General features: G+C 42.9%; 1 protein-coding gene across 18 annotated transcripts, besides 1 other annotated feature; it reads right to left on the bottom strand.

Moving 5' to 3' along the window:
- TRMT10B (tRNA methyltransferase 10B) lies at nucleotides 296-26367 on the bottom strand. 18 transcript variants are annotated; one of them, NR_104612.2, is made up of 9 exons: nucleotides 25416-25463; nucleotides 17151-17365; nucleotides 16583-16691; nucleotides 15403-15639; nucleotides 11040-11192; nucleotides 9249-9327; nucleotides 8529-8596; nucleotides 2863-2986; nucleotides 296-1667 (listed from the first exon to the last, which is right to left on the bottom strand). NR_104612.2 is itself a non-coding variant. In XM_011517735.4 (9 exons), the coding sequence occupies exons 1-9, from the start codon at nucleotides 25982-25984 to the stop codon at nucleotides 1561-1563; spliced, it is 990 nt and encodes a 329-aa protein (XP_011516037.1). In that variant the 5' UTR covers nucleotides 25985-26367; the 3' UTR covers nucleotides 296-1560. The 18 variants fall into 18 exon arrangements, 16 of the variants coding, with proteins under 16 accessions (XP_011516037.1, XP_011516038.1, NP_659401.2 ...); XM_011517735.4 differs by lacking the exon at nucleotides 25416-25463 and adding an exon at nucleotides 25975-26367 and having other exon boundaries at nucleotides 15515-15639; XM_011517736.4 differs by lacking the exon at nucleotides 25416-25463 and adding an exon at nucleotides 25975-26367 and having other exon boundaries at nucleotides 296-1640; nucleotides 15515-15639.
- Nucleotides 25319-25553: a silencer, noted in NCBI's record as "fragment chr9:37753712-37753946 (GRCh37/hg19 assembly coordinates)". NCBI's record gives its function as "represses an EF-1alpha promoter that drives an FKBP-Casp9 reporter gene in an ReSE screen in phorbol 12-myristate 13-acetate-treated (for megakaryocytic differentiation) K562 erythroleukemia cells {active_cell/tissue: K562(+PMA)}" and the evidence as "EXISTENCE:reporter gene assay evidence [ECO:0000049][PMID:32094911]".
- Nucleotides 26368-26607: the final 240 nt, after the last annotated feature.

Genomic DNA, 26607 nt, shown 5'->3' with positions numbered 1-26607 from the left:
AGCCAGTTTTTAAATAGAAAAGTACTGATTAGGTGAACAGTTCCTTAGGAATTAAATTGTGAAGGGGAGGGGACACAGCAGAGAAGTAATCTGTTGGTTCTTTTGAGATATTGAATACATGTCCCAAATTTGCTAGCTGCTTAACTAGCAAGTTAACCCAAACTGTCAGAGTAACTGAAGCAAATATGTCCAACTGGGACATAAGGAACATGAGATTTGTGTAATAAGTAGGTTATCTAACGTGTTCATGTGTCTAACACTTTCTAGCTATTTTCAAGACAGACTTAATCAATACTGTGTTTGCTTTCCAATTTAATCTGTTACAAATACATATGAAGAATCTAGTTGGTACAGGCTCAGGGAGGATAGAAAGATAGGTACACAGATTTGTCCTGTTAGGATCCTACCATTAGGAAGGATTAGGAAGAGAAGCCCTCCATGCCCATACTCTGCAAGGGAGAACAAGGTAAGAGCCACAGGAGGGAACAAAATGCTATGGGGACTCAGTAGGGATAGGTCAGAACAGGCTGGATCCTGCAAAGCTTATTACTGAGCTGGGCAACAACGAGCATGATCAGACAAGGCTGGAGAAAGTCATACAATTTTATGATGCCAGTTTAGTGAATATTAAACTCTTGATGTAACCATTTAAACAATTTCAAGAGGTCTCTCACAAATAGATGTACAAAAGTTGAATTAGCACGTCCAAAGCCATGTGGTTTTGAGGCTAATTCCTTGTTACATAATTTTTTTTTTTTTTCCCCTCGAGACAAGAGTCTGGCTCTGTCGCCCAGGCTGGATCTTGGCTCACTACAACCTCCGCCGCCCGGGTTCAGGCGATTCTCCTGCCTCAGCCTCCTGAGTAGCTGAGACTACAGGCACGCACCACCATGCCCAGCTAATTTTTGTATTTTTAGTAGAGACGAGGTTTCACCATATTAGCCAGGCTGGTCTGGAACTCCTGACCTTGTAATCCACTCACCTCAGCCTCCCAAAGTGCTGGGATTACAGGCGTGAGCCACTGCACCCACCACATTAACTTTTTATTACTTAACATATCTGAGCACTTCCTGTGAGCCAGGCACTATGGGAGATTAAAAAGCATTAAATGTGGTCCCTGACATTATTGTGAAGCTCTGAGAAGATGTCATGCAAAGACACTTGCCTATGTGCCACTGCCACCCTCTGCCCTGCTCTTTGGGTCAAGGTACCTCCAAGCGCCTCACTCCTGCAGCTGCATTTTTTTTTATTTATTTTTTTTTTGAGATGGAGTCTTGCTCTGTCACCCAGGCTGGAGTGCACTGGTGAAATCTCGGCTCACTGCAACCTTCGCCTCCCGAGTTCAAGTGATTCTCCTGCCTCAGCCTCCCAAGTAGCTGGGACTACAGGTATGCGCCACCACACCTGGCTAATTTTTGTATTTTCAGTAGAGAAGGGTTTCACCATGTTGGCCAGGCTGGTCGTGAACTCCTGACCTCAGGTGATCTGCCCACTTCGGTCTACCAAAGTGTTGGCATTACGGCGTGAGCACCTGGCCACGCAGCTGCAATCTTAGGCCCATCATTCCACTGAGTTCCGAAGAATATAGCCTTTTCCTGAAGAAACTCCTTTCTTCAATGCTTCAGGCCAGTTGTGAGTCTCTAAGTAAGTGGACAGGATATCAAACACTGTTAGAGAGTAAACAGAAAACACAGTGACCACAGAGGGAAAAAAAGAACGAGTAAATGAAAAGGATGTTCTGTAATATTTCGTTCAACAAACCTATTCTGCACCATATGTGGTACTAAGGTCTTGCGGGGAGAGGCAAGGACACAGGCTCTGCTTGCTCTCAAGGACCTCAGCCTACCCTGAAAGATACAGGCCTATGAATGGATAGGGTGCAACAGAAAGGAACACAGTAAAATGGGAAACAGAAGGGCTCTGCTGTGGCCTGGGATGGGGAAGGGCCAAGATGCTCCTGAACTGAACCCTGAAGATCAAACAGGAATTCAGTGGTGAGAGGTTAAAAGCTGGGCATTCTAGATGAAGGGGACAATTTTTTTTTTTTTTTTTTTTTTTTTTTTTTTTTTTTTTGAGGCGGAGTTGCACTCTTGTTGCTCAGGCTGGAGTGCAATGGCACGATCTCAGCTCACCGCAACCTGCACCTCCCAGATTCAAGCAATTCTCTTGCCTCAGCCTCCAGATTAGCTGGGATTACAGGCGCCTGCCACTATGCCCTGCTAATTTTTGTATTTTTAGTAGAGACGGTGTTTCTCCATGTTGGTCAGGCTGGTCTCGACCTCCCGACCTCAGGTGATCTGCCCACCTCAGCCTCCCAAAGTGCTGGGATTACAGGTGTGAGCCACCGTGCCCAGCTTTTTTTTTTGTTTTTGAGACAGAGTATCACTGTCACCCAGGCTGGAGTGCAGTGGTGTGATCTCGGCTCACTGCAACCTCCACTTCCCAGGTTCAAGTGGTTCTCATGCCTCAGCCTCTGGAATAATTGGTATTACAGGCGTGCACCACCACGCCTGACTGATTTTTGTATTTTAGTAGAGATGGGGTTTCACCATGTTGGCCAGGCTGGTTTCGAACTCCTAACCTCAGGTGATCCACCCACCTCGGCCTCTGAAAGTGGATTACAGGATTACAGGTGTGAGCCACTGCACCTGGCCAAGGGGACAATTTCAACTATCTTTAACATAGTTGGTGACGAAGAAAACAGAATGCCTCTTAGTGGCCAGAATATATGTCATGACGTACATGCAATAAAGTCCACACACATTAGTCACAGAGGAGACTGACTCAAAGGCCACTTAAACACAGTGCAAAGCAGCAGCACCAGAACTCACACACCCTGGATGGGGGCCGTGTAAGAAGTACCTTGATTGATGGCCAGTATCTCTGAATGATAGTTTTTCCCATTCTGGTTTCTGACCATGTATTCCTGGATTGGCAAGCGTGCGGTCTTGACAGAGTATTCCCGGGCCTTTTGAAATGTCACCTTCTGTAAATATATAGTTAAATATTTTTCTTATAAAAATTATACATGAGTATATTCTCAATGTAATACAGCATTAAAAATAAGTAGCCTATTGTGGAATGGAAGAAACTGCAGATAATGAGTTAACTGTCTCAAGAGCTTATGTGACAATATCTTACTTTTTGGGGGGTCACTCATCCACAGTCCTCCACTCACTGCCACTTAGAACCAAGAGGGAAATAAGCAAAAGAGGCACATCTGCAGCCACAGTAGGCATCAAAAGGCCCAAGCAGTCTAATCAATCAGAGCACATTCTGAGCCCTAACTCAGTAAGACCCAATTCTGGATATCTGGAACTTCCAGCTCATTGCCAAAAGGCAGCATCAAATTAGAGGAAAAGGTAGACAAGATTCAAGACAGGTGCACCACTGCAACAAGTGGCATTAGGGTGTGAGAAGAGAGAGCCCAATTAAAAGAAAGGGGCCAGGTGAAGTGCCTCACACAACACTTTGAGGCCAAGGCCAGAGGACTGCTTGAGCCCAGGAGTTCAAGACCAGCCTGAGCAACATAGGGAGATCCTGTCTCTACAAATAACAAAAAAAAAATTAACAGGGTGTGCTGGTGTGTGCCTGTAGTCCCAGCTACTCTGGAGGCTGAAGTTGGATGATCACTTGAGCCTGGGACATATATCAAGGCTGCAATGAGCTGTGACTGCACCACTGCACTCCAGCCTGGGTGACAGAGGAGACCCTGTCTCAAAAATATAAAAGGGCGGGCTCTGAAAACTGCAAAAAGGAGTCACAAGAAGTCCATCAACTTGAGGCCATTTAGTGTCAGAGTACAGAAACTGATGTCCCTTTATAAGATGTTCCTTAGTCATGAAGTCCCTCAGACTGAGTCATGACTCAGTCAGATTACATTTGCTGCCTTGTAAGAAGCACAGGAAAGATTTTCTACCTAAGACTTCAGGATTAAAGAGAAAGGTTCAGATTACTGGGATAATTAACATGCCAAGGCTTGGAAGGGGTCTCAATAGTGTTAACTGTATCACTCTAACCACCCATTCATTGTCTGTTCTCTATGACTTCTCCAAGAGGCCATGTGGCCACTCAATGGACAGCTCTTGTGACAGGGAGTTCATGCATCCTGGGACAACCCACTCCAGTTTTGATAGTACCAGCTGATAGGAAATTCTTCTTGATCTTGAGCAAAATTCTGTTTTCTTTGAGACTTCCACTCATTCATCCTAGGTCTATTCCCCCAAGGCCAAACCATGCAAGTAAGATGGCCCTTCCAAAAGATGGCCATTCAGAAACTTGAAGGCAGTGATCATGCCCCTAGGAATCCTCTAGTCTCCAGATTGTAGCCTCAGTTCTGTCAACTCTTCTTTGAATTTCAAGTCCCTTCATCATTCAGGACAAGTTGAACTTGTTCTAAGCTAGTCCAGTATCATTTTGTTTACGGTCCCATAACTGACTGGCCATCATGAGTATGGTCTAACCAGGTGGAATAGTGTGAAGTGGACCTAGTACCTTTTCGGTGCTGACACCTGCCTCACATGAAACAAAATTTTAGATAGAACTTCCAAAAATGTTTTAAGCGATACAGGGACTTATTTGAAAGGATAAAACTCCTTTGCATATATGAGCTATATGATACGTTTGTTTTATAAAAAGTCTTATTCCTTTATAATCACTTTGAAGTACAGAATTCAAAATTAGGATATTTGGGTGTTGCCCTAGAAGAGCTTACAATTTAGTTTATGTTCTTTGCACAATGATTCATAATAAAATGACTCTCCTTGAAGAAATGTTGTTCTTAGCTTATTTCTGTGAAGAAGCCAAACTCCAATAACAACCAAAAAGTTCTAAACATCTCACAAATCTTCCAGTTATTTTTCAGTTTAAATGTTGGTGGACAGATAATATGTTAAAACTGCACATCTGTAAGTCATGCACTGCTCACTGACCCTCTGAACTTAACTGCCTCAAAAAAGGGACTGTTGGCCAGGCACCGTGGCTCATGCCTGCAATCTCAGCACTTTGGGAGGGTGAGGCAGGTGGGTAACTTCAGCCCAGCAGTTCGACACCAGCATGGGCCATACGGTGAAACCCCAACTCAACAAAAAATTAGCTGGGCATGGTAGCGCCCACCTGTGGTCCCAGCTACTTGGGAAGCTGAGGTAGGGGGATCAATTGAGCCTGGAGTAAGCTGATTGTGCCACTGCCCTCCAGCCTGGGCAGCAGAGCAAGGCCCTGTCTTGGACGGGGTGGGGGCGCTGTCACCCTGCTGCAGGTAAGACTAATAAACTTTTAATTATTATTATTGTTGTTTTTTTTTTTTTTTTTTAGAGACAGGGTCTCACTGTGTTGCATCACCCAGGCTGAAGTGCAGTGGTGTGACCACAGTTCTCTGCAGCCTCTAACTCTTGGGTTCAAGTAGTCCTCCAGCCCTCCAGACTTTGTGTGTGTATGAAACAGAGTCTCGCTCTGTCACCAGGCTGGACTACAGTGGTGTGATTTCGGCTCACTGCAACCTCCGCCTCCCTGGTTCAAGAGATTCTCCTGCCTCAGCCTCCCGAGTAGCTGGGACTACAGGCACATGCCACCACACTCAGCTAATTTTTATGTTTTTAGTAGAGACAGGGTTTTCACATGTTGGCCAGGATGGTATCGATCTCTTGACCTTGTGATTTGCCTGACTTGGCCTCCCAAAGGGCTGGGATTATAGGCGTGAGCCACCACGCCCGACCCTAACTTTTTACTTTGAAGTATTTCAAACCTAAGAAAAGTTCAAAATAATACAATCAATATTCATTCCTGTAATCTAGACTCACCAGTTGTTAATATGTTGCTTTTTCTCTCTGTATATAAATACATATTTTGGGCTGGACAGGGTGGTTCATGCCTGTAATCCCAGTGTTTTGGGAGGCTGAGGCAGAAGGATTGCTTGAGGCCTGGAGTTCAAGACCAGCCTGAGCAACATCAAGAGACTTCGTCTCTAACAAAAATACAGAAAAAAAAAAAAAAAATTAGCTGGCCATGGTAGCATGTGCCTATAGTCCTACGTACTCAGGAGGCTGAGGCGCAAGGATTGCTTGAGACCAGAAGTTCAAGGTTGCAGCGAGCTATGATCGCACCACCTCACTCAGCCTGGATGACAGAACAAGACCTTGTCTCAATAAAAAATAATTTGCCAAACCATTTCAAAGTAAGCTACAGACATCACAATACTTCTTCACTAAATACTTAAGCATGCATCTAAGAACAATGACATTCTACCTTACCACAATACCATTTTCACTTCAAAGAAAACTTTTAAATCTGTAATTTCACTTAATACACAATCTACATTAAAATTTCCTAAACTTTCCCCAAACTGTTTTTTATAAAGCTTTCCTCTCAATACAGAATTCAAACAAGGCTCACATACTGCATTTGGCTATTACGGTTTTTTAACCTTTTCTTCTTTTCCAAATTGTTTTGTAGAGATAGGTTCTCAATGTGTTGCCCAGGCTGGTCTCAAACTCCTGGCCTCAAGTGATCCTCCTGCCTTGGGCCTCCCTAAGTGCTGGGATTACAGACATGAGCCACTGTGCCTGGACGAACCTCTTTTAATCTGTAACAGCCTCCTGCCTCGGTTAAGTCCAGTCCAGTTGTTTTGCAGAATGTCCCACATTCTGATTTGTCTGTTTCCTCACAATTAAATTCAGCTTAAACATTTTCTGGGCCAGATGAGGACTCATGCCTATAATCCCAGCACTCTGGGATGCTGAGGTAGGAGGATTGCTTGAGTCCAAGAATTCAAGGCTGGACACAGTGAGACCCTGTCTCTACAAAAAATTTTAAACACGAGGCTGGGCACGGTGGCTCACACCCGTAATCCCAGCAATTTGGGAGGCTGAGGCAGGAGGATTGCTCGAGTCCAGAAGTTTGAGACTAGTCTGGGCAACAAAGTGAGACCCTGTCTCTAAAAAAAAAATTTAAGAACTAGGCCAGGCACAGTGACTCAATGCCTGTAATCCCAGCACTTTGGGAGGCTGAGGTGAGTAGATTGCTTGAGTCCAGGAGTTCAAGACCAGCCTGGAAAACATGGTGAGAACCTGTCTCTACAAAAAAATATAAAAATTAGCTGTGCATGGTGGCACACACTTGTAGTCTCAGCTACCCAGGAGGCTGAGGCGGGCGGTTCAAATGAGCCCATGAGATTGCGGCTGCAGTGAGCCATGATCGCACCACTGCACTCCAGCCTGGGCAACAGAGTGAGACCATGTCTCAAAAAAATTAAATTAAAAACTAGCTAGGTGTGGTGGCATGGGCCTGTAGTCCTAGCTACTCAGAAGGCTGAGGTGGTGGGAGGATTGCTTGAGCCCAGGAGATCGAGGTTGCAGCAACAGAGCAAGGCCCTGCTTCAAAAGAAAAAAAAAAAACATTTTCTGTCAAGAATACTACACCTCAGGAGGCAGAGATTGTACCTGTATGGGTGATACTAAGTTTGATCAAGTTTGGATAAGATGGTGACCACCAGAATGCTTTACTGTAATGTTAAATCTTTGCCTTTGTTATCTGTAGGGTGATACTTTGAGACCATGTAAATAGCCGGTTCCTCCACAACCTTTCTTTCAACTGAGTCAACAATTGTATTAGGAGTGACAAAATGATGATTTTCTAATTCTATTATGCATTCCTTATTAGCTGCATTCTTCTGTAAGTAGCCCCTGCTCGTATTTTAGATGATCACTATGGAGTCATGGAACACTAATATTTTTTAAATAAATTCAATTAAATTAACCTATCATCTGTGTTAAATATACATACATCTCATACATACAGGAACATAGATAGAACACATCTACCTCTACCTATATGTAAAATATACCCACAAACACATACTTTGTGATCATATAATGTCTCAAAGAAGGATACACAAGAAAACTTGACATCGGTTGCCTCAGGGGAGGGGAATTGGGAGACAAAGGTAGGAAAGACTTTCATTCTACTCTTTTATATTTATATGTTAGTCTTTAACTTTTATTAAACTTATTATCTATGTAATATGTTAGTAAATATAAACAATTATCTTAAACAGCTATATAACAAACATTTCAAAATTCCAGTGACACCCCAATTATTCCTCTAAAACTCCAACAAAAAAAATCTGGATAATCCTAGGAGTTTGAGGTTTTGGGCTAAGACTATTTCAGCAGAGAGATCAACCTTAGAAGGAGCAAACTACTCCCTCAAAGAACAGCTAGTAAGAATGTTGAGTTGATGCTTACTTGGTCAATATCAGAGTTATCCTTGCAGAACTGAAGAGAGAAACTCAACAATGGCTATGTAATTACCAAACAGTGCCCAGTCCAGTTCCCGACTCTTGATTTCGCTGACATTGCTCATGAGGAGAGAGGGAACTTCACCAGCCAGAGGGCCAACCTGGTGGGGATGGCTCTTTCTTCCTGTTCCCTCTGAGTTCTTAGACCCTCTAGAGGAGACTATAACAGGGCACATGCCTCTAAAAGTAAGCACTGCTTTTTAAAACAGATGTTGGGGCTGAAATGTATACTTACCTTCTGAATGCTTTCATCCACAAGCCCACCGAGGATGTAAACTTTGTTTAGATCAACATCTTCAAGAGCTAATGAAAAAATGAAGGCCAATGAGATCAAATCTGTTTTATAATTTCTAAATCCAGAGAAAGCAAAATGAAAGAATTATTAACAATAAAAGTAGAAATTCAGTAGAAAACAAAAAGAAACTTGCTCAATAAAACCAAAAGCTAATTTTCTAAAATGGCCAATAAAACAGACAAACTGTTGGCATAGCTAATCACGAAAAAGGGTAGCAGACCCAAATCAACATTAGATTCAGAAAGGAAACAAAACTGCAGAAGAATGTGAAATAATTAGATGAGAATACTATGATCAACTGAATACCAATACATTTTAAAATTATGTGAAATGAATGATTTTCTAGGAAAAAATAGATCTAACATTGATCCAAGAAGGGCTAGTGGGGTAGCAGACCAAGGACACTGGGAAAGACTGGCAGGCACTACACAAGGCCCAGATAAGGATGGAAACCCTAAGTCTGCAGCTGTGAGCCATGGTAAGACACATCGAAGCATCCAGTGAGGCCCCTGCCTGTAAGAGGAGCACTGCTCATGTGCATTACTTTTTGTGGGGGTGGGGAGGGGTGTCCTTCTTGAGGGGCTTTAATAAATTCTGCCACAGGGAATAATGAAACACAGGAACAATGGGCTATACGAATCCATGCATTCAACTACATACCGTGTTCTGAGTCAGGAGTCAGGTACACAAGGGTTTCCAAGGGAAATAAACTAAAGCAGTCTTCTTCTGTTATGTCTAACTGGAAAATGCAAACAGTCTGATGTTAAAACAGCTCACGGCTGGGTGGGGTGGCTCACGTCTGTAATCCCAGAACTTTGGGAGGCTAAGGTGGAAGGATCACTTGAGCTCCAAAGTTCGAGACCAGACTGGGCAACATGGTGAAACCCAGTCTCTACTAAAAATACAAAAAAATTAGCCAGGCATGGTGGCATGTGCCTGTAGTCCCAGCTATAATACTTAGGAGTGAGGTGGCAGGATGGCTTGAGCCCAGGAGGCAGAGGTTGCAGAGAGCCAAGATCATGCCACTGCACTTCAGCCTGTCTTTAAAAAAAAAAAAAAAACCCCGCTCAAAATTCAACGACTAGTTACTGGGCTTCAAGTTTCTATCAGGCATGGCTCTAGGTTTATCAAGGAACTGCACATGTGACAGCTTGACAGCTTCTCAGAAAGTACCTAGTTAGGAGGGAAAGTAGACACAGACGTTCAAACCTATGAAATGAGACAGCGATATGGGGTTCTGACAGAGGTACGGGGAGCATGCTCCAGGACTACAGATGAGGGAGTAACATTGGGATGACCTGGGGAAGGAAATGCTGGAACTGGGTTTCTGAAAGGAGATTTTTTTTTTTTTTTTTTTTTTTTTTTTTTTTTAAAGACAGGGTCTGGCTCTGTCACCCAGGCTGGAGTGCCGTGGCATAATCTAAGCTCACGGCAACCTCTGCCTCTCAAGCTCAAGTGATCCTCCTGCCTCAGCCTCCTGAGTAGCTGGGACTACAGGCGCGCACCACTGCACCGAGCTAATGTTCGTATTTTTAGTAGGGACGGGGTTTCACCATATTGCCAAGGCTAGTCTCGAGCTCCTGAGCTCAAACAATCCACCTGCCTCGGCCTCCCAAAGTGCAAGGATTACAGGAATAAGCCACCGTGCCCAGCCTCAAAATAGATTAATATTGACATACACAAAAGGAGAAGAACTCAAAGCTGAGGGACTAAGAAAGGCACGAAGACAGGAAAGTAAGGGAACTATGTGGACCTGTAAAAAGGACTGTTTGGCTTATGTAAAAGAATCATTAAAACAACTACATAGAAGAAAACTGGAACTAGCTGCACTACAAGAGAGACTGTGAAGACAGTAACAGCAAAACAGCTGGCTGTGCAGCCCCGCGCAATGCACCCTTCACATTCATCACTTCCATGGACCTTCCTGGGGAAGGTCACAACTGCTCAGTCTCAGCTACACAATGCAAACACACTGGGCATTTTCAGTGACATTTGAGAAACTCATTTGGATTCTTGCATGTATATGTATCACTAAATGTATGAGATCCTAGAGAGAGGTGAAAAGTACCTTAGTACTCCCTAAAACTTATCTTAAATTTGCATTACTTCATAAAGGGATTCCTTCTCTTCCCCCAAAACTCATGTTTCCCAATTCACCATTAATGAGAACAAGAAAGGAGTCATGGCATTTCCCAAAAATATTCCTGGAGTATACAGTCTAGCATAAATATACGGGATACAAAATACAGTCCTAGACACTGGTAACAGTACTTTGCCAATGCAGTAGGAGGATGAGAAAAAATTTTAAATTTAAGAACTTATGAGAGGTTCTGAATTTTTTTAGACTTCAATACTGAAAATGTAACATATATGAAAAAGTAAAAAAAAAATACTATTAACCACAATAACTTTTCAGATGACAATTCAAATAATATGCAAAAAGAGACTTACCAGGTAACTAGAAAATCCATCATTCATCCTCACACACTCTTCATAAAGGGGACTGTCTGTTGTGAATCCAGTGAGGCAGATCCAAAATGGCCTGTCAGCTTTTTTGTTTGAACCATACAACCTTCGAATCTGTCCAGCCAGTCTACTTAATTCCTTCAAAGAAATAAGAACAACTCAGGGCAAAAACATGCCAACTCACTCTAAATTAGCTATCAAGAAATGGCTACAATAAGTTCACTGAACGCTACTCCAGAAAACCCCATGTACTAGGAGTACATGTGTGCGTGTATTATACCTTATGGCATCACACCTTACAGACAAAAGATAATGATACAAGTCCAGAAACAGTGAGGTAGTGGAAAACGGAATTCGCCCTCCTGCTGGCCCTGCTGTTAAATGTTTAATATATGAAATTCTTATTTTAGCTTTTATCTAAAATCTTATGTAATACTATTTAAGTTATTAAAGAGGTTTCATTAATATACATAAATGTTTTTACAGAACATCATATAAATTTGGTACCTTCTTCCTAACTTCAGGAGATGCAATAGGGTTGGAAGTTTTAACTTTTTACCCTGAATCACAGACAATGCTCTTATATAAAAGCAATTTCACAATTTGGCTTGATTTGTTGGGTAGGAGAAAAAGACTCTGGGTTTGATTTAATCTGCTATCTTAATTTAACAATATGGATTTTTTTTTTTTTTTTTTTTTTGGAGACAGGGTCTGGCTGTGTTACCCAGGCTGGAGTGCAGTGGTACAATCATAGCTCACTACAGCCTCAAATTCCTGGGCTCAAGTGATCCTCCTACCTCAGCCTCCTGAGTAGCTGGGACTACAGGTACAGGCCACCATACCTGGCTAATTTTTAATTTTTTAGAGGCAGGGTCTTCCTATATTGCCTAGGCTAGTCTTGAACTCCTGGCCTCAAGTGATCCTCTTGCCTCGGCCTCCCAAGATGCTGGGATTATATGCAGGAGCCACTGTGCCCAGCCTAATAGTAGGGAATTCTTGGTTAACATTTTCAGAGGACTAGAGTTAGAAGTTTCAGGTAGGAACCTCAGATCTGCAGTTTTCCTAACTTATCTGAAAAATATGCAAACACTAGCACATAAAACAGATGTCTAAAAAGAGAGTTTACAATTTACATACTGTGATGTAAGGCCTAAAATTAAGGCCCAGTATTATGCACTGCCTTGACATCTGTCAAAACTGGGAATACTTCAAATAGCCTAATAGTAAGCTCCCCTCCCAACTCTGCTCCCGTAGATAAGGTCTCCTAGCTTTAAAAATCCTTTTTATACAAAATCAATGTGCAAAAATCACAAGCATTCTTATACACCAATAACAGACAAACAGCCAAATCATGAGTGAACTCTGATTCACAGTTGCTTCAAAGAGAATAAAATACCTAGGAACCCAGCTTACAAGGGATGTGAAGGACCTCTTCAAGGAGAGCTACAAACCACTGCTCAATGAAATAAAAGAGGATACAAACAAATGGAAGAACATTCCATGCTCATGGGTAGGAAAATCAATATCATTAAAATGGCCATACTGCCCAAGGTAATTTATAGATTCAATGCCATCCCCATCAGGCTACCAATGACTTTCTTCACAGACTTGGAAAAAACTACTTTAAAGTTCATATGGAACCAAAGAAGAGCCTGCATTGCCAAGTCAATCCTAAGCCAAAAGAACAAAGCTGGAGGCATCATGCTACCTGACTTCAAACTATACTACAAGGCTACAGTAACCAAAACAGCATGGTACTGGTACCAAAACAGATATAGACCAATGGAACAGAACAGAGCCCTCAGAAATAATGCCACATATATCTACAACTATCTAATCTTTGACAAACCTGAGAAAAACAAGCAATGGGGAAAGGATACCCTATTTAATAAATGGTGCTGGGAAAACTGGCTAGCCATATGTAGAAAGCTGAAACTGGATCCCTTCCTTACACCTTATACAAAAATTAATTCAAGATGGATTAAAGACTTAAATGTTAGACCTAAAACCATAAAAACCCTAGAAGAAAACCTAGGCAATACCATTCAGGACATAGGCATGGGCAAGGACTTCATGTCTAAAACACCAAAAGCAACGGCAACAAAAGCCAAAATTGACAAATGGGATCTAATTCAACTAAAGAGCTTCTGCACAGCAAAAGAAACCACCATCAGAGTGAACAGGCAACCTACAGAATGGGAGGAAATTTTTGCAATCTACTCATCTGACAAAGGGCTAATATCCAGAATCTACAATGAACTCAAATTTACAAAAAAAAAAAAACCCATCAAAAAGTGGGCAAAGGATATGAACAGACACTTCTCAAAAGACGACATTTATGCAGCCAAAAAACACATGAAAAAATGCTCATCATCACTAGCCATCAGAGAAATGCAAATCAAAACCACAATGAGATACCACCTCACACCAGTTAGAATGGCAATCATTAAAAAGTCAGGAAACAACAGGTGCTGGAGAGGATGTGGAGAAATAGGAACACTTTTACACTGTTGGTGGGACTGGAAACTAGTTCAACCATTGTGGAAGTCGGTGTGGCGATTCCTCAGGGATCTAGAACCAGAAATACCATTTGACCCAGCCATCCCATTACTGGGTATATACCCAAAGGATTATAAATCATGCTTCTATAAAGACACATGCACACGTATGTTTATTCCGGCACTATTCACAATAGCAAAGACATGGAACCAACCAACGATAGATTGGATTAAGAAAATGTGGCACATATATACCATGGAATAGTATGCAGCCATAAAAAATGATGAGTTCATGTCCTTTGTAGGGACATGGATGAAGCTGGAAACTATCATTCTCAGCAAACTATCACAAGGACAAAAAACCAAACACCGTATGTTCTCACTCATAGGTGGGAATTGAACAATGAGAACACATGGACACGGGAAGGGGAACATCACACACCAGGGACTGTTGTGGGGTCGGGGGACGGGGGGAAGGACAGCATTAGGAGATATACCTAATGCTAAATGACGAGTTAATGGGTGCAGCACCAACATGGCACACGTATACCTATGTAACAAACCTGCACGTTGTGCACATGTACCTTAAAACTTAATAATAAATAATTAAATACTTTTCATCAAGGGTCCAAGGCATAATCTCTTTATCCCTAAGGAGTTTTGGTTCCCTGCCAGCCCATGGAATTTTCCTAACAAGCCAATCACATCCTCCTATAGTAACCAGGGGGCACCTCAACCCCTGGATACTACAAAGCCCACCTCACACAGCCCCTTGCTGTTCATTCTGTTCTTGATTACAATCCCCACGTGGCCCTGTATGGTATACAGTATCTTCCTCCCCTGGGCTGTAAGTATATGAGACTCATGAACTGCTGTGAATCTCATCTGTCCAGTGTCAGGTGTCATGCATTCTGCCATTCCCAGAACTCTAGTGTGGGAATCCCTCTTTCATCAATGAGGTGAATGAGCATCAATTAAAACACATACATTGAGGCCAGGCACAGTAGCTCACGCCTGTAATCGCAGCACTTTGGGAGGCTGAGGCAGGTGGATCACCTGAGGACAGGAGTTTGAGACCAGCCTGGCCAACATCGCAAAATCCCGTCTCTACTAAAAATAGAAAAAAAATTAGCTGGGTGTGCCAGGCGCAGTAGCTCACAAGGTCAGGAGATCGAGACCACCCTGGCTAACATGGTGAAACCCCATCTCTACTAAAAATACAAAACCTTAGCTGGGCATGGTGGCAGGAGCCTGTAGTCCCAGCTACGTGGGAGGCTGAGGCACAAGAATGGCGTCAACCCAGGAGGTGGAGCTTGCAGTGAGCCAAGATTGCACCACTGCACTCCAGCCCCGGCAACAGAGTGAGACTCTGTCTCCAAAAAAAAAAAAAAAAAAAAAAATTTGTCAGGCGTGGTGGCAGACGCCTGTAATCCCAGCTGCTCAGAAGGCTGAGGCAGAAGAATTGCTTGAACCCAGGAAGCAGAGGTTGCAGTGAGCTGAGATTTTGCCATTGTACTCCAGCCTAGGTGACAAAAGCAAGACTCCATCTCAAAAAAACAACAACAAAAAACACACACATTGCAAAAAGTTCTTCCACCAGGTAATCTTCCCACAACATGCTACCAGGCAAATATTCCTCTTCCCAAAGGTTTAGTGTCTGGAAAACTGAACCTGAAAGGTTCCATCCAGACTGAGGATATCATGAACAGAGAGGCAAAGATGTTGGGCTTAAAACAGAAGACAAGGTAAAAATTTGCAAACTAAACCAAACTATATATATTCTCTTCCAGGTTCGTTACAACAGCCACCTTGGAACTTAGTAACCCAGTATAGAAAATCAAACACTTTACTAGTTTACTAAGGAATCCCAGAAGCTGGAGTTGACCATATTCTTCGGAAAGCTGTACCCTTCTGGGCCTCCCTCATGGCGAGCAGGAATTCCAGGCTTAGTGGATGTTCTACCTTCTTTGACATGTAGTGGGTCATACTCAAATCGATACATAGTCTTGGTCCTGAGTGTTTGGCTTCCAAAAGTTTGTCTTTGGTTAGAGCTCTCAGGAAACGTTTGCTGTGCTGGGGGCAAATGCCTAAAGCAGAAATATCAGAAAGAAATAAAAGTGGAAAACCAGAGGAATATTATATAAGAAACAAATCTTAGCCAGGTGGGTATTTTGCATATAAAGAGAAACTTGATACTGATGTAAGGTATTCGTTCATTAGAAGATTTACACAGAGTGGTGAGGAGTATGGGCTCTGCAGCACACAGCAGGGTTTAAATCCAAGTTCAGTTTGTTCATTGATTGGCTACATTATCTTGGGCATAATTATGTTACTTAATTTCTCTAAGCCTCAGTCTCTTCACCTACAAAATGGGAATGATAATAACAGCTCCTCTTTATTGAGGTAATCCATGTAAAATTCTTAGAACTGAACCTAACACAGAATACTGAATAAATATTAGCTGTTGCTGGTATCACTCCTATTCTGAGCTTATAAACACGTTAGTTAGATAGCTTATATTTGAAAAGCAGCCTTAAATTTTTTTTTTTGTTTTTTTTTTTTTTTTTTTTTTGAGACAGAGTCTCACTCTGTCACCCAGGCTCTGGAGTGCAGTGGCTCAATCTCGGCTCACTGCAACCTCTAATCTCCCAGGTTTGTGATTCTCCTGCCTCAGCCTCCCAAATATAGCTGGGACTACAGGTGCGTGCCACCACACCCGGCTTTTTTTTTTTTTTTTTGTATTTTTAGTAGAGATGGGGTTTCACCGTGTTATCCAGGACGGTCTCGATCTCCTGACCTCGCAAATCCACCCACCTCAGCCTCCCAAAGTGCTGGGATTACAGGTGTGAGCCACCACACCCAGCTACAAATTTTGCTTTCTTTGATGTTTTGATTCCCAAGAAAATAGGGCAGTGGGTCCCACATCCCAGATGCTTTTTACTTATACAAAATTCCTACTCTCATTGGAACATGCAGACACGTTTGCTAAAAAATAAATATTATTATACCAACAGTCTCATTTATTGTCACCTGGATTTTCTGCACGATTGGCTTTTCTTCGTTCTTTTTCTTGCTTTCTTTTGCTCTTCTTTGCTGCAACTATCTTTTCCCAGTGTCTCTGTTTTCTCTGGACATTTTTCTTATATTATCCAGAAAACAAAATTGTTTGAGAACTTCATAAGCACCAAAAAAGGAAAATGAACATTAGAAACATTTGCTTTTTTCTTATTTATATATATAGTTTGGAGAGAAAGAGGAAATTACTCTTAAAAACAAACCTAGACTGGATCGTGTTTAGAGAAAACAGAGCCCCAGAAAAAGAGACATGACCTGGTCAAGGTCACAGAAAATTCATTAGTGACAGGGCCTGGAGTTTAGATTTCCTGACCCTTCAGGGGTATATCAAAAATTCCTTTTGAACTTTTCCTATGACTCAAATGGAACTAAAACTTTAAACCAGTTAGCAGAAAATTCATCACTCAGAATACACAAAACTCATTCCGTCTCTCTTTTCACTACCAGTATCCATCTTTAAAACAGGGGTGTCTTGAGACATTCCATCATTCAAGGCCTATGGCCAGGCAATTCACGCACTCACCGAGCACCATGCCGTACTGCCTGTGGCCAGGATCTCTCCCTCCTGGCACTCGCCTTCCGCATCGATCTGCAGAAGCTGGAAGCCTTCAGGAAGTCCATCTTCACCTGTCTCCTCTAGGATGCCTTCTTGCCCCTGCAGCACAGGTGACTCTACTTTCTGAGTACTCCCTTCCAATTTCCAGTCCATGGACTTAGTCCTCTGTCCTTTCCACCAGACTGGAAAAAGGCACAATTATGTGAGCTATTACATTATTTCACTAACATAGGTATCTCCCTACATCCAAATGACAAAGTGTTATTGTGTTACTGAAAGAAGTGTGTAAAATACTGAACCAGATTTACTGGACTGAGAAAAGCATGTGTCTTCCAGATACATGATTCAGCAGAGAAACAGTTCAGTAGTAAGGAAGTTTTGTTTGTTTGAGACGGTTTTGCTCTCGTTACTCAGGCTGGAGTACAATGGTGTGATCTTGGCTCACTGCAACCTCTGCCTCCTGAATTCCAGTGATTCTTCTGCCTCAGCCTCCTGAGTAGCTGGGATTACAGGCATCTGCCACCAAGCCCGGCTAATTTTTCTATTTTTAGTAGAGATGGGTTTCACCATGTTGGCCAGGCTGGTCTCGGACTCCTGACCTCAAGTGATCTACCCATCTCGGCCCCCCAAAGTGCGGGGATTACAGGCATGAGCCACTGCACCCAGCCCCAGATACACTTCTTAGAGGACATGCACAACACCTGACGTCTCCAAGCAATCAATGATTATCCATAGCTGCAGTGACACAGATAACCAAGTTATTTATTGTGTACTTTAAAATGCATGATATGATTTGAGGGTAAGACAGATTGCAAAAGCCACTTCACCTCCCCCATTATGTTTCAACCAGTTTATTTTCAAAATTGTTCCTTTAGCAAATATTTATTGAATACCTACTGTAAGTAAGGTACTGTACTAGAGACATCTTGGGAGAATGTACCAATGTATATAGTAGAGTGACATGAAACCAAGAATTCTTTTAGGTTGTTGGTATGTATCAGTTTTTTTAAACTATGTATTTCCTCCAACTCAGTTGAATACCACTGCAGTAGAAAGCCAGTCACCACTGAAAATGTTTAATATCCCTCAGAAGTGCTGAGGTTGAATACTACAGACAAGCACTCTTACACAACACTTAATGATGTCAATTTCAAAGTGGAGTTCAAAATCTGAACGATATGAGTCAGAAATGCTTTAGTCAATGGTCAAATGTCACAGAACACAAATGATGTGACCATTACCTATGGCTGGTCCTCCGGGTGTAGTCACACAACCACTTTTATGAAAAATATATCTTAAAAAGTGTTAAGTCTATGTAGTATGATTCATGTATATGGTGTTAAAAAAAAACTACAATGAAAAGTAACAATCCACACTCCTATCCCTTCCACCTCTAGTGGCAACCCTTGTTAACCAGTTCTTTTTTGTTCTTTTGGTAATTAACTCCTTAAACTGAAATCATATGCTTACATCATTATTTCATGATTCATCAGCTTTGAATGTATTGACTCCCTATGAAACATAAGAATTCAAATCGCTTAAATCAGTCCGTATTATTACTATTTTTGAGACAGGGTCTCACTGTTACCCAAGCTCGAGTGCGGTGGCACAATCATGGTTTACTACAGCCTCAACCTGCTCAAGCAATCCTCCCGCCTCAGCCTCCCATGTAGCTAGGACTACAGGCATGCATCACCATGCTTGGCTAATTTTAAAATTTTCTGTAGAGATAGGGGTCAACCCCTATTTAAATTACTTATTTTGAGATGGAGTCTCACACTGTCACCCAGGCTGGAGTGCAGCGTTGCAATCTCAGCTCACTGCAACCTCTGCCTCCCAGGTTCAAACAATTCTCCTGCTTCAGCCTCCCCAGTAGTGGGATTACAGGCGCCAGCCACCAGGCCTAGCTAATTTTATTTTTAGTAGAGACGGGGTTTCACCATGTTAGCCAGGCTGGTCTTGAATTCCTGACCTCAGGTGATCCGCCCACCTCGGCGTCCCAAAGTGCTGGGATTACATGTGTGAACCACCGCACCTGGCCTATTATTTTTAATTCTTCATTAGTTATCTTGATTTTGAAATTTGAGATCAAGTTACCTTGATCTTTACATTTTTTTGGCAAAGATTTTAAGGGTACAGTTTAATGAATTTGTGTATGTGGTAAAATATACTAACTCAATGAGCTTTAACAAATGTATAGGTTCTGTGTTACTGACAATCCTGTCAAGATATGGAACGTTTCCATCACCGCAGAAAGTTTTTGTTTTTGAGATGAAGTCTCACTCTGTTGCCTAGGCTGGAATGCAGTGGCATAATCTTGGCTCACTGGAACCTCCGCCTCCTGAGTTCAAGCAATTCTCCCATCTCAGCCTCTTAAGTTTCTGGGACTACAGGCACGCACCACCATGCCCAGCTAATTTTTGTATTTTTAGCAGAAATGAATTTCACCATGTTGACCAGGCTGGTCTCGAACTCCTGACCTCAAGTGATTCACCTGCCTTGGCCTCCCAAAGTGCTGGGATTACAGGCGTGAGCCACCACACCCAGCCTCACTCCCCAGAAAGTTTAACTTTCTTCTCCACTTTCCAAATCAGTCTTCATCCCATTCCCACAACTTGCCAAAGGCAACCACTGTTCTCTTTGCTATAACCATGGATTAGCTGTATCTATTATACAACTTCATATAAATAGATGCAAACAGTATGTACTCTTTAGCACTTGACTTTTTTCCCCTCAAAATATTTGAGACTTATACATGTTGCTGCATGTATCAGTAGTTGCTTTTTTATTGCTGAGTAGCATTCCATTGTATGAATATATCACAATTTATTCTGTTGATGGGCATTTGAGATCTTTTCCAGCTTGGGGAATAAATCTGCTATGAACATTTTCATAGATGTGTTTTTATGGATACATGTTTTCACATCCATTGACTAAGTTTTAAGGTAGAATTGCTAGGTCATAGCATAGGTGTGTATTTAACTCATAAACTGCCATCCATTTCCCAAAGTATTATACCATTTTACACTGCCTGTCAGCAATGTATGAGCATTCCAAATGTTCCACAGCACCACCATCTGGGGACCCGTACACAGATTTCTGGGGCTCCTTTGCTACACCACTCCCTCCCTGCTGTATCCAATCTCAGCAGCCCTAAATTCAACTGTTTGCTCCACCCAGTGACACAGACGTACTCTGTATGGGCTCCGTGTCACTATGCACCCTCAGGTAGAAAGCCAGGGTGACTGTGGGGCTTAGCTTGTGTGTTTCTTTTCCCTCAAGGATTACAGTCTTGTCCTGACTACTGCCCAATACCTGAAAACAATTTCTTCATATCCTTTCTCCAGTTTTATAGTTTATTGTAGGAAGGTAAGTCCAATACCCATTCCTTCTGTCATGACAATTACCAGGAGTCTATTACTTTTAAGAATATTTTAAAACTTCTACTTCTTGTTCAAGTTATAGTATTTCTGACTCCCCAATCTTTAGGCTGTGAACATAAACACCCTTATATTTCTATCTCTGTTCTCCCTTTAATTTTCCAACTGAGCCTTTAATTTTATATGGTCAAGGTAGGTTTTACATTTTGCCCTGACAAAACAATTAAGTGCTTTGTCTATCCCCGTGGTATTTTCTAAAATTTGTAAACCAAATTTGTAAACTATTATTTTTTCAGACAGGGTCTCACTCTGTTGCCCAGGCTGGGGTGCAGTGGTGCAATCACAGCTCACTGCAGCCTTGACCTCCCATGCTCGGGTGATTCTCCCACCCCAGCCTCATGAGTAGCTGGGACTACAGGTGCACACCACCATGCCCAGCTAATTTTTGTATTTTTAGTAGAGGTAGGGTTTCACCATGTTATCCAAGCTGGTCTGGAATTCCTGGACTCAAGCAATCCGCCTGCCTCAGCCTCCCAAAGTGGTGGGATTACAAGTGTGAGCCACTGCACCAGCTGTAAACTGCATTTATATTATAACTCCATAAATATTATTCACTGTAGAGATGGCTAGTGTCCTAGAATTATGTTTTCTTTTCCATTTTGACTCCTGTGTTTGGAAAACATTTCTAGTGTTGAGTTCATATTGCTTTTCTTGTACTCCATCAAATGCTCAAAATTGGGCCAAACTTTAGTTGTTTTCAGTTTAGACACACTTAAAATAGGTTTAAGCGGGAAAATAGCATTCTTAGAATTCAGACACACTTCCCAGCTTGCCACTTGTGAGTAATGGGACAATAGCTAGAGGATTTAAGTCTCTGCCATAGAGTCTCTCCACGAAATGGGATAAAACGACCTCACAGGATTGTTGCAAGAATTAGATACCTTTCACTTACTGATATAAAACAAGTACTCATGAAATACTTGCTGTTAACTACTATTCAAAACCCCTTCAGTGTTGTTCTTACAGTTGCTATTAGAAGGTAAATCTTCTGAGCAGTTTTGGTTATTCATGACTTATCATGTGAACATGTGACCACCAGATATATTCCTGAAGATGACCAAGTAAATTACCTTCTAGATTTTCAAAATTATAGATTTGAAATTTGTGTCCATTTGTCTGCCTAGGCTAAAGTTTATTTCTGCTTAGAAATCCTTTAAAATCCAGTACACATTTTTAAATGTATTTACATACAGACTATCACAAAGAATTAGTGGCATGCATAAAATTTCATAATGTGTATCTCCAGAGAAATGAGGAAAATACCAAGCTGGCTGGGCGCAGAAGCTCATGCCTGTAATCGCAGCACTTTGGGAGGCTGAGGAGGGAGGATCAATTGAGCCTGGGGGTTCAAGACCAGCCTGGGGAACAAAGTGAGACCCCACCTCCACAAAGAATTAGATGAGCATGATGATGCACACCTGTAGTCCCAGCTACTTGGGCAGCTGAAGCCAGAAGATCGCTTGAACCCAGGAGATCAAGGCTCCAGTGGGCTATGATTGTGCCATTGCACTTCAACCTGGGTGACACAGCAAACCCTGTTTCAAAAACAAAACAAAAAATCCAAGCTATTCTTAAACATTTCAGAAGCACTCCACATGAATGAACAGTGAAGTTGATCACAAATTAAAAAAAAAAAAAGTTAAGAGATAGGTCTTGCTATGTTGCCCAGGCCAGTATCGAACTCCTGGCCTCAGGCCATCCTCCCACCTCAGCTTCCCAGTCACTGGGTAGAGATGTGAGCCACCTCACACCTGTATATGTATATATGTGTGTATGTATATGTGTGTGTGTATATATACACACATACATACACACGCATACACACATATGCACACATATATACACATACACATGTATGTATACACATATGTATATATGTGTATATATATATGTGTGTGTGTGTATATATATATATATATCTTTTTGAGATGAGAGTCTTGCTCTGTCACCCAGGCTGGAGCGCAGTGGCATGATCTCATTGCAATCTCATGACTCATTGCAACCTCTGCCACCCAGGTTCAAGCGATTCTCATGCCTCAGCCTCCCGAGTAGCTGGGTCTACGGGCACGCACCACCACACCACGCTAATTTTTTCATTTTAAGTAGAGATCAGGTTTCACCAAGTTGGCCAGGCTGGTCTCAAACTCCTGACCCAAGTGATCCACCCATCTCAGGCTCCCAAAGTGCTGGGATTACAGGAGTGAGCCACCGCACCCAGCCATTTTTTTTTTTTTAAACAAAAGATATCTAGACCCCCATTATGACAGTTCTTTTAGATGAATGAACAGACTTTTATACCATCAGAGTCATCTGCATTTTCCTGCATATAGGCATTCAGAAAATAACAAATGAAAACATTAAGATAAACTAATCTTTAACTGACAACTTCATTGTATTAGGGTGAGAAAACCAACACCCATTTGTTAAATAAATGCTAGTTAATAGCCATGTGATCTCTTCCTCCTTTAAACTTCATAGCATTTTGTATTTTTACCTGTGTTGACCATTCATTAGTTAATAAACATTCCACCAAGCTCCTACTGTATGCCGGGGCCTGTTGGGGAATGACTGGGAGGCAATGGATCTAGAGATTTCTCTGGAGGTAGTCTGGCTAAGGAGGGGAAAAGAGATCTAGGATAGGAGATCCTAGGAGCTACAGACTTCCACTGTTGTTTTCAAAAATTGGAAAGTCTGTGCTGGTATCTTCTCTCCTATCAAACTGAATTCCTTTGTAGGAGGGCTTATACCTACATTTACCTAAACACTTAAGAGTTCACAGTATAGAACCTTGAAAACAGCAGTGTTTATTTTTTGTTTAATTGAACTGAAGTTTACCGCCACCACTCCCACTCCCTTCCTTTCTTTTCCCCTCCTTTTACCTCATGTTTCTCCAAATCTCTACAGTCCCTGAGAATGTTTCTTAAACCAGGAATTTGGGATGCAATAACCTTGCAAATCAAATAAAAACAACTCCAACCACCATCAGAAGAGTAATAGAACAAGCTAACACTCCTGAAGGCGGGGCCCACCTCTTTTGTATCTTTGTATCTCTGTTGTCTGGCATAAGGCCTGGCACAGAATGGAAGCTCAATAAATACTGATTAGGTGATTGCCACCTAGGGATCCTCAGAAAGCAAAGGTGAAGTTGGACATCACAGAAGCAGAGATCTGCTCAATCTGTGTGGGACATTATCTATGCCCAAATTTAGCATTTTTTTTTGGACATAGGAACTACCATTTTAACCATTTGTAAATGTGCAGTTAAAAACACACCTAAGGGCATCCACATTGTGTGCCACCATCACCACTGTCCAGCTCCAGAGCTTGTTTGTCTTCCTAAAGTGAAACTAACTTTAAAAAAAAAAAAAAAAAAAAAGACGGAGTCTTACTCTGTCGCCCAGGCTGGAGTGCAGTGGCGCGATCTCGACTCACTGCAAGCTTTGCCTCCCAGGTTCACGCATTCTCCTGCCTCAGCTTCCTGAGTAGCTGGGACTACAGGCACCCGCCACCATGTCCGGCTAGATTTTTTTGTATTTTTAGTAGAGACGGAGTTTCACCATTTTAGCCAGGATGGTCTCGATCTCCTGACCTCGCGACCCACCTGTCTGGGCCTCCCAAAGTGCTAGGATTACAGGCGTGAGCCACCACACCCGACCCTGTGACCTTTATATAACTCTCCCTTCCCCAATCCTGGCAGCACCTTTGTATTTCCTATCTTATGAATTTGAGTGCTGCTCTGGTTTGAATGTTTGTCCCCTTCTCACATTCAGGTTGAAACTTAATTGCCATTGTAACAGTATCAAGAAGTGAGATTTCATTTATTTTTCATTTCTTCATTAAACATCTTTTCTGAGCCTCCAATTATGGGTCCGATGCTGAATATTCATTACTTTCGTTCAACAAAGCTACTAAGCACCTGACATAATAGTACATCCTGGGGACTTGGGGATGACATTCGTTCTGCTTTCATGGGGCTCCAATTATCTGACCCTGCCTTGCATGACAGCTGTCTACCTGTTTCCCCACTAGATTATAAACCCAGGGAAGAATTGGAAGAATTCACCTGTACACCCTCAGTACCCGAGCCCTGTGAGCATCCTAAGTATTTGATGATCACCACTCTTCTGCTTAGAACCCTGCAGTACTCTCCATTTCACTGACAGTAAATAGCCCAAATCCATACAATGACCTATGCAGATCACTAAGGTCTACCTTTCTCGTTTCCTCTGCACTCCGGGGTCTATTTGCTGTTCCTCAAACATACCCTTCAAGGCCTTTACATTCGCCGTTCTCTTTACCCTCAATGCTCTTCCCTAAGACACTCACAGACTACCTTCCTCTCCTCATTCATATTACTATCCAACATAACCTATTTTACTTGTTGTCGGAACCTCCTCCATCCCTTCAATGTAGGCAAGTGTTGTTTGCTTATAGATGCTTAATAAATACTTGCTGAGTTCATAAATCCTCCACTCCGCACCCCCACCCTAGGTTGGCAGAGGCCTCAGACCTTTGCTAGCCTAACTCCCACCTGATGGGTACCTACACTGCCGCTAAGTGATGGCACATCGAATTCAGCCTGAGAGCACCCCGCCTGCGGGTCTCTCCCGGCCCACAGGCTGAGCGTGCGAGTGGAAGCAGGAAGGGAAAGTATCAGGAAGGTGGAGTACCACAGGCCACATGACTGCTAAACGCTGCTTTCTCAACGTCCGCCCCACCCGCGAGGGAGGCGGACGTCCCAGGACAGACCCCGCAGCCCCCAGCCAGCCCCCTTAACCAGCGGACAGCGTACCTGATCCCCTCACCCCCACGCAGCGGCAGCGGCGCGCATCGGATCCCCCCCGCCCCCGGCCTCGCTTCCGCTTCGTAACTCCGCTCCGAATGGCATTCTGGAAATTGTAGTTTTTCACCTGCAGGGTGCTCGTGGGGCCGAGCCGGAGCGGAGGCTGCGGCTTCTACTCCCAGCCCTGGCGGTAGGGAGCTGCGTCCTGCTGTGGTGGTTGCCCACCTTCTCTGAACCCCTGTCTCCCCGTCTGCTGGACAGCTATTACAACCCCAACCCTTTACCAACTTCACAGGGCTCCTACAGGTGCTCTGTTGGTTGTCAAGGGCTGGACATTGCGAAACTGGGGTGTGTGAAGCAAAAAAATTCTAAGGCCCGCACCCGACTGAATGGACCTCCCTCTCTGCCGAAGGAAACCTTAAAAACTAGTTATGGCCATTACAGGAAGCGGGAGTGGAGCGGGGCGGTTGGACATGCACTGATATTATATCCCATCCCTTGCGGAGTTTAGGCCCAACGGGGACTGACACAACAGAATCTTTGTAGAACTAAAATATCAAATTCCAACCTGATATCATATTGTGTCCGGAAATGGTGGATTCTTGGTCTCACTGACTTCAAGAATGAAACCGCGGACCATCGCGGTGTTACAATTCTTAAAGACTGCGTGTCTGGAGTTTCTTCCTTCTGGCGGGTTCATGGTCTCGCTAGCTTCAGGAGTGAAGCTGCAGATCTTCGCAATGAGTGTTAAATCTCTTAAGAGGGCACACCTGGAGTTGTTCCTTCGCTCTCGGTGGGTTCGTGGTCACACGGGCCTCAAGAAAGAGCTGCAAATACAGATCTTCACGGCGAGTGTTATAGCTCACAAAGACAGTAGGGACCCAAAGGGTTAGCAAGCAACAAGATTTATTACAAAGAACAAAGCACCCACAGTCCAGAAAGGCAACCCCAACGGGTTGCCGCTGCTTGCTCGGGCAGCCTGTTTTTATTCTCCTATCTGGCCCCACCCACATCCTGCTGATTGGTCCACTTTACAGAGAGCCGATTGGTCTGTTTTACAGAGAGTTGATTGGTCCGTTTTGACAGGGTGCTGATTGGTGCGTTAACAATCCCTGAGCTAGACACAAAAGTTCTCCAAGTCCCCACTAGATTAGCTAGACACAGAGTGTTGATTGGTATATTTACAAACCCTGAGCTAGAC

The sequence above is a fragment of the Homo sapiens genome, chromosome 9 (assembly GCF_000001405.40).
Source record: "Homo sapiens chromosome 9, GRCh38.p14 Primary Assembly".
Classification (NCBI taxonomy): domain Eukaryota; kingdom Metazoa; phylum Chordata; class Mammalia; order Primates; family Hominidae; genus Homo; species Homo sapiens.
This window is presented reverse-complemented; position numbering and strand designations above follow the sequence as displayed.

Coding starts and splice junctions, on each gene's coding strand:
- TRMT10B (XM_011517735.4), bottom strand. Junction 15,640..16,582: donor CAATCGTGCAGAAAATCCAG/GTGACAATAAAT, acceptor TTTCTGCTTTAG/GCATTTGCCCCCAGCACAGC. Junction 1,668..2,862: donor GATACTGGCCATCAATCAAG/GTACTTCTTACA, acceptor ACTCTCTAACAG/TGTTTGATATCCTGTCCACT.